The sequence below is a fragment of the Homo sapiens genome, chromosome 7, assembly GCF_000001405.40.
Source record: "Homo sapiens chromosome 7, GRCh38.p14 Primary Assembly".
NCBI lineage: Eukaryota > Metazoa > Chordata > Mammalia > Primates > Hominidae > Homo > Homo sapiens.
In genome coordinates, this window is record NC_000007.14 from 55,566,401 (window position 1) to 55,572,744 (window position 6,344).

Here is a 6,344-nt window from a genome sequence, read left to right on the forward strand (position 1 = left end):
AAATACAAAAATTAGCTGGGCTGTGGTAGCGTGTACCTGTAATCCCAGCTACTCAGGAGGCTGAGGCAGGAGAATCACTTGAACCCAAAAGGAAGAGGTTGCAGTGAGCCGAGATCATGCCACTGCACTCCAGCCTAGGCGACAGAGGGAGACCATATCTCTAAATAAATAAATAGATTTAAAATAAAATAAAATGAGTACTCAGGATGAAATTAACTTTTATGTTTACAATTTGATATTTGTTTTTCCAAAATAAAGTCCCAACCGAACTTTTTTTCCACTTTGACTAGGAAATGTTGATCCCTGATTCACATGGATTAATGGCTAAGTGGCCTTTTTCTAGGACCAATTATTTTCAGATATTGAGGACATCCTCATCACCATCCAGTCCAAAATTTTCAAACTGCAGCTATGAGGATGGTGAGATGATTTAAAACCATGTTTTGAAACAACAGAAGGTGAGGCCTGGAAAAGAACACACACACAAAATGGGACCACACAGCTGTGTTAGAAGACTGAGGGCCTGTCATTGTGATATTTCTGAAAAGCCCATGAGTGCAGACCTAGGACCAGGCTGAAAATACTGTCATTTCCCCTCAATATTACAGAAAACTTTAACAACTGAAGTTGCCCCAAAAGTTGATACTTTGTCTTAAGGCACAGTGGGTTTCCATCACTAGAGGTGCTCTGCTGCCCTCCAGCCCCTGATCAACTGCCTCTTCTTTTCCCACTGCCCATCTACTCAGCTCCTGCCCACAGGGCTCTTACCACTGACGGCTTTACTCATTCAAGTCTCCATCGAGTCCCTGCTCTGTGCCAGGCATGGTTCCAGCAACTAAGGATATGTCAATCAATAAATCAGAGCAAAACCTTTGCCCCTAAATTGCTTACATGGTAGAAAGTAAATTCTGTCATATTTTAAAGATAGTTATGGGAAAAGGAGGATATTGGTCAGAGTTAAGGTAGACTAGGGAAAGAACTGAGAAGAAATTTTAAATAGGGTGGTCAAGACAGACCTCACTGAGAAGGTGAAATCTGAAAAGCTTCATCAAGAGGACATGATAGAGTGAGTTCTAGGAAATGTCCTTGCCCTGCAGAGCTAATCAAGTGAGCACTAGCCTAATCCTATCCTTGCCATGTATTTCTAAGTCATTTACCCTCCGTTAGCCTTTATAGCTGTGCCCAAAGTAAAAGAAAGCAAAAACCAAGGAAAGCCCCAGGTCTGGGCCCAACGCCCACAGGCCTCCTCAGACACCTGGACCCAGGCTTTCCCCACTTCAGAGCAGAGCTCTTGCCAGCCGGTTCATTTATTGCTGCCACTTCTCACCCATGACCACCTGGCCTCCCGTGGAGTTTCCAGAGACAGCAAACTCCCTGCAGGATTCTTTTTCATTCAAATTGCATGTTGCCTGGTTTCTAAAAACTCTTAAGAGTGGGTGGGCTGAAAGGTTTATTTCAGGAAATTGGCAGCCAGGGACTGCCACATTTGTTGGAATTCCAGGGCACAAAAGACATTTGGCAAGAGACAAAAAACACTCTTAAACATAACTCAGTTCTAATTTCCAGACTCCCAGGCATCAAAATACACAGAACTTCAGAAAAATACTCAGTGATCTTATTATTTTTCCCTAGTTCAAAGATAATGTCCACTTTGCAACCCTCTCTAAGAGACAACTATTCCTTTTTTTTTTTTTTTTTTGAGACAGTCTCACTCTGTTGCTCAGGCTGGAGTGCAGTGGCACAATCTCCGCTCACTGCAAGCTCCGCCTCCCGGGTTCACGCCATTCTCCAGGCTCAGCCTCCCGAGTAGCTGGGACTACAGGCGCCCGCCACCACGCCCAGCTAATTTTTTGTATTTTTAGTAGAGATGGGCTTTCACCGTGTTAGCCAGGATGGTCTCGATCTCCTGAGCTCGTGATCCACCCGCCTCGCCCAAAGTGCCGGGATTACAGGCATGAGCCACCGCACCCAGCCTGACAACTGTTCCTTTTTCTAGTCCAAGAAGATCTGTTCTTTTGCCCAACAGCATTGAAGCACAAAGCAACGTGGCTTAAGCGTTTCCAGCTCTTGGTTCCTGGGAAAGATCAGAAAGATAATGAGTAGTCCCTTAACTAAAATAAGTCTATCTCCTTGGAAGCAGAGGCACTGGTATTGGTGAGTTTTACACTAAATAGCATACTATACATTTCTGGGCTCACTTCAGTAAGAACAGAGCCCTTCAAACAAATACTAAGTAGATTTCAAAAGTGTAACCAACCAAACCTCTAGAAAGAGAATGCAGTGACAATATCTAGAAAACAATGCACACAACAAAAAGCCCCAGGGAGGTGCATATGCTTAGGGCCTCATTACTCTCGGGATTCAACTGAAGTGTAGTCAGTTTTAAAACCTTTTTTTTTCCTTTTAGTTTCTAAGGAGTTACTGTGTGAAGGCCACTGAGAATAACTTCAGCAGGGCTACTAGGAGACAGCTTAGTACTTTCACTCTTCCTGTAAGGATTGTTTGCAGGACCTCACTTCAGCCAGCTGGCGGAACAAAGGCATAGAACCTTAGCATTTTATGAACCAAAAAGGCCTCTGAGGTTCCCTACTCTTAGCCACCCTTAGAATCTGCCACATTCGTGGCCTGGGTCCCTGGATCATAACCAGCTGGCACAGAGCAACAGGGGAGAGGGAGATAAAATCAGGGCCCTCACTGGCTGTGCATGTAATTCACAGGAAACTCTGAGTTAATAGAAAAGAAAGGTCAGTCCAGTAATGAGCTTCCAAGAAGCCTCCCTAGGAGAGGGATGGTGCTGTCAGCTGCTGCCGGTTCCTCCCTGAAGCCCTACCTGGGCTTCAGGAGGGGAACACAACCAGGGTTTCTCAGGAGAGTCCTGGTGATGCCCACTGTCCAGGCACAGCTCTTAACAACATCCTATTTCACTCTTCAAAGTGCCACCGTTTGTAGGCTAAATCACATGGTCTTTCTAAGGAAGGGTGACTGAGTTTCTAAGGGGAATACACTTTCCAGGGCCACCACTGCCCTCGCGATGTAGAGCATGCAAATTCCTAACATGTTCCTGTGTGCGCAGACGGCAGAGGAAGCAGAGCATCGAGGTGGGGTACACACTGGAACCAGACTGCCTGGGTTAGCATCTTAAGCCCTCACACTTAACAGCAGTGTTAAGTGTTCACTTCCCATTTGAAACAAAAATGAAGATAAAAGTAATTGCTAGCAGGATTAATGAGATAACGTGTAACATTTATAGAACAGTGCCTGGCAGTTACCCTGGAGCACTCTATGAATGTTTAGTAAGCAAACATAAATATGCAGTTCTATGTCTAACAGGTAAGTAAATTTCTACAAAGGGATGGTGAGGCAGGGGAGGAAAGCACTTCTCAAAACAGTCTTTGGATTGCCCTTCCTACTCAAGGACCTCTCACTAACACAGAAACCCCTGCGCATGTGAGATTCTGGATGGTGCTAGATAGGGCCAGGGTGCTGGGGGTGGGAACAGAGTCACCACTGCCACAAGGCCACCCCTTAATTTCAGGTGGTTTATGATCAACCACGTGGCAAATTTATACACTGAAACCAGCTCAGGCAGAACAAAGGAACAAAGACAAATTTCCCAGGTTGCAGCCGGCAGTCAGAAGCCAGAAGCCACCAAATAGCTCCCTGGGTTGCTTTTATGCACTCAACCTGAAGAGAGCCATTTGCCATGGCACATGCTCCACACCTACGACTGCACATCCATGTATGTGATTCAGGACTTCAGAAGCATCACAGGTATTCATCAGAGCACCCCACCAGAGATGAAAAAATCTCAAATATAAATCTCATACATAAAATTTCATGTGATAAATGATGAAGAAATCTCCTTAACTCCTCAGAGAGACGCCTCTCCAGCACAAAGTGGTGGTACTTAGGATAATCATCATGTCAAAGTGGGTGACATCACACTGTCCCCTCTGAAACAATCATCTAATATTTGACTGTGAAAGTATCATCTTAGGCATTTAGGTTTCAGTTTTACATCACACTTCTGCCTTTAAGGTCGTTTCAACTTTGCAGACATGATCTGAACTCCTATTAAGAGGATACATTCCTATGCAACGAAACAGCTATTTTGGAAAGAATGGAGTCACTGAGGCCGTCTAGGCTACATATAGGGCACAGAACCACTCAGACAGAAGGCTTGGGAGACATGGGTGGCACAAACTAGAATGAAAGAAACGCTAAATAATTTCATCAAGTGCCGATTAAAAAAGATTGCAGGGCCGGGCGCGGTGGCTCACCTTGTAATCCTAGCACTTTGGGAGGCCGAGGCGGGCGGATCACCTGAGGTCAGGAGTTCGAGACCAGCCTGACCAACATGACGAAACCCCGACTCTACTAAAAATGCAAAAATTAGCCGGGCATAGTGGTGGGCGCCTGTAGTCCCCGCTACTGGGGAGGCTGAAGCAGGAGAATAGCTTGAACCCAGGAGGCGGAGATTGCAGTGAGCCAAGATCGCGCCACAGCACTCAAGCCTGGGCCACAGAACGAGACTCCATCTCAAAACTAAAGAAATAAATAAATAAAAATAAAAAATAAAGATTGCAAGTATAGGTACACACATTAAGGTACAAGCACATCTGTTTTCATGCGATTACTGGTCTCTGATTCACTTCTTTGTTCTCTATGGTGAGTCACTCAGAGAATGTGATTCCTAAGGTTCTAAAATTCTGAATAAATGGAAAGAATGCAAGCAGAGGCACTCCACAAAAACATTAAATACCAAGCTACGGGGATATTTCCGAACAGAAACAGGAAGTCTCGGCTATGGCAGAGCCTGGAGCAAGGAGAAATTTGTCCACCAGCCTTCCTTTCAGGAAACACTTTTCCTCCAACATTTTGTAATAATTACTTTTTAATAAAGGGCGAAGACAAACTAGTAATTTCCAGCACCAATCACTAACTATTAAGGAAGATAGTTTCACAACTTCCTAAAACAGAGGCATGGGATTCATTACCTATTTCTTTTGACTTCATTAATTTAACGCAAATTTCCTTCAGAATAATGAAACTAAGGAGAAAGTTGAACAAGCCCTGATTCAGACTGGACACCCCAGAATTCCTCTAGTTCGCATTTTAAGGAACCTGCTTTAGTGAGAAGTATGTGGCCCCATCCGAGGATGCAATTTCACAGCCAGGAGCAGCCGCGGTCCCCGCCAGGGATGCGGTCACGGGCGCTCGCACCCGGAAGCCGCTCAACAAGTTCCCCGCCGGCTTCGGCTCCGCACCCCCACCCAGCCAGGCTCTCCGCAGAATTTCCTCCCCGCACCTAAAGGCTGCACTTCATTTTCACACGCGGGAACGCCTCCTCCCGCTGCTCACCTCCACAACTCCCGGCACTCCCGCGACACTTCCCCACAGTCCCCTCCGCCCGCTCCCCTCACCCCGGCTCGGCACCCATCCTTTCCTAACCCCAAACTGCCCGGCGCCCCGGGCTCTCCGCGCCTGCGCCGCGCCCGAGGACCACCCCCGCCCAACCCCGGGTCCATCCGATCCTCGGCCCTCTGCGGCGGGGAGAGGGGGCGGACGGTGCACAAAGGTCACCCCGAGCTAACGGAGGCGGTCGGCGCGGGAAACGCGCTCACCCGCAGGGTGGGGGCGGGGTGCGAAAACCGAAGGAACGACGGAAGGCGCGGACCGGGGCGGGAGCCTCCCCGTCACCAGGGTCCCGCACCTCCCAGCTCCGGGAGGCGCGCAGGGCTGTGGCTCCCCGTCGCTCCACCGTCTGCGCTCCCAGGCAAGGTCCTCTGGGGCGCCTCGGAACTGCGCGCCCCCAGCCGCCAGCATGGTGGGCGCCGCGCCTCCGGCAGCACCCGGTCCCCGGCCCCTACCTCCAAGAGCAGCCCGAGCAGCAGCGCCGCCACCTTCGCAGGCTGGCGCCTCATGGCTCCTCGCGTCCTCTCCAGCGCGCCCGGACGCCGGGTCGCAGGCGCGCTTCGCGACTCGGCCCCCGCGCGGGGCGGGCGGGCAGACTGCAGCCGGGAGCCGTCCCGCCGACCGCTGGGGGGCCCGGCTGGGAGCGGGCGGGAGCCGGGGCGCGCCGCGCAGCCCTGGCTGCGCTCCGCCCCCGGCCGCCGCGCGCTCCCGACACGCCCGGCCGGGCGCGCGCCTGCGGGCTCCCGGAACCCGAGGCCCGGCCTGGGGCGCGGCTGCTGGGCGCTAGGCCCGCGACGCTGAGGTGCGCGCGCCCCGGGCGGGAGGAGGGGCTGCACCGCCTGGCGAATGGGAGGGGGACTGGCAGGCTCTCCCTTCCCAAGGGAGGTCGTCCTGTCGCCCTAGACTAAACCCAGGAAGGCTTTTAAAAG

At 50.3% G+C, this 6,344-nt stretch overlaps 1 protein-coding gene across 8 annotated transcripts in view, besides 4 other annotated features; it reads right to left on the reverse strand.

The window, feature by feature from the left end:
- Nucleotides 1–6,102, reverse strand: part of VOPP1 (VOPP1 WW domain binding protein) — a 137,539-nt gene extending 131,437 nt beyond the window's left edge. For 6 of the 8 annotated variants that reach the window (XM_011515539.2, NM_001321246.2, NM_001321247.2 and 3 more), the window contains exon 1: nt 5,871–6,102. In XM_011515539.2, coding sequence (XP_011513841.1) covers nt 5,871–5,924 — 54 coding nt within the window. In that variant the 5' untranslated portion in view covers nt 5,925–6,102. Of the gene's footprint in view, nt 1–5,308; nt 5,469–5,624; nt 5,763–5,870 lie in introns of those variants that run through there. The other 2 variants (NM_001321249.2, NM_001321250.2) reach the window with 2 other exon arrangements.
- Nucleotides 2,279–2,328: a silencer, noted in NCBI's record as "silent region_18189". NCBI's record gives its function as "represses an Ori minimal core promoter by ATAC-STARR-seq in GM12878 lymphoblastoid cells {active_cell/tissue: GM12878}" and the evidence as "EXISTENCE:reporter gene assay evidence [ECO:0000049][PMID:35858748]".
- Nucleotides 2,476–2,770: a silencer, noted in NCBI's record as "tiled region #1113; K562 Repressive non-DNase unmatched - State 7:EnhWF". NCBI's record gives its function as "represses a minimal TATA promoter and a strong SV40 promoter by Sharpr-MPRA in K562 cells {active_cell/tissue: K562}" and the evidence as "EXISTENCE:reporter gene assay evidence [ECO:0000049][PMID:27701403]".
- Nucleotides 5,096–5,155: an enhancer, noted in NCBI's record as "active region_26039". NCBI's record gives its function as "activates an Ori minimal core promoter by ATAC-STARR-seq in GM12878 lymphoblastoid cells {active_cell/tissue: GM12878}" and the evidence as "EXISTENCE:reporter gene assay evidence [ECO:0000049][PMID:35858748]".
- Nucleotides 5,356–6,335: a silencer, noted in NCBI's record as "silent region_18190". NCBI's record gives its function as "represses an Ori minimal core promoter by ATAC-STARR-seq in GM12878 lymphoblastoid cells {active_cell/tissue: GM12878}" and the evidence as "EXISTENCE:reporter gene assay evidence [ECO:0000049][PMID:35858748]".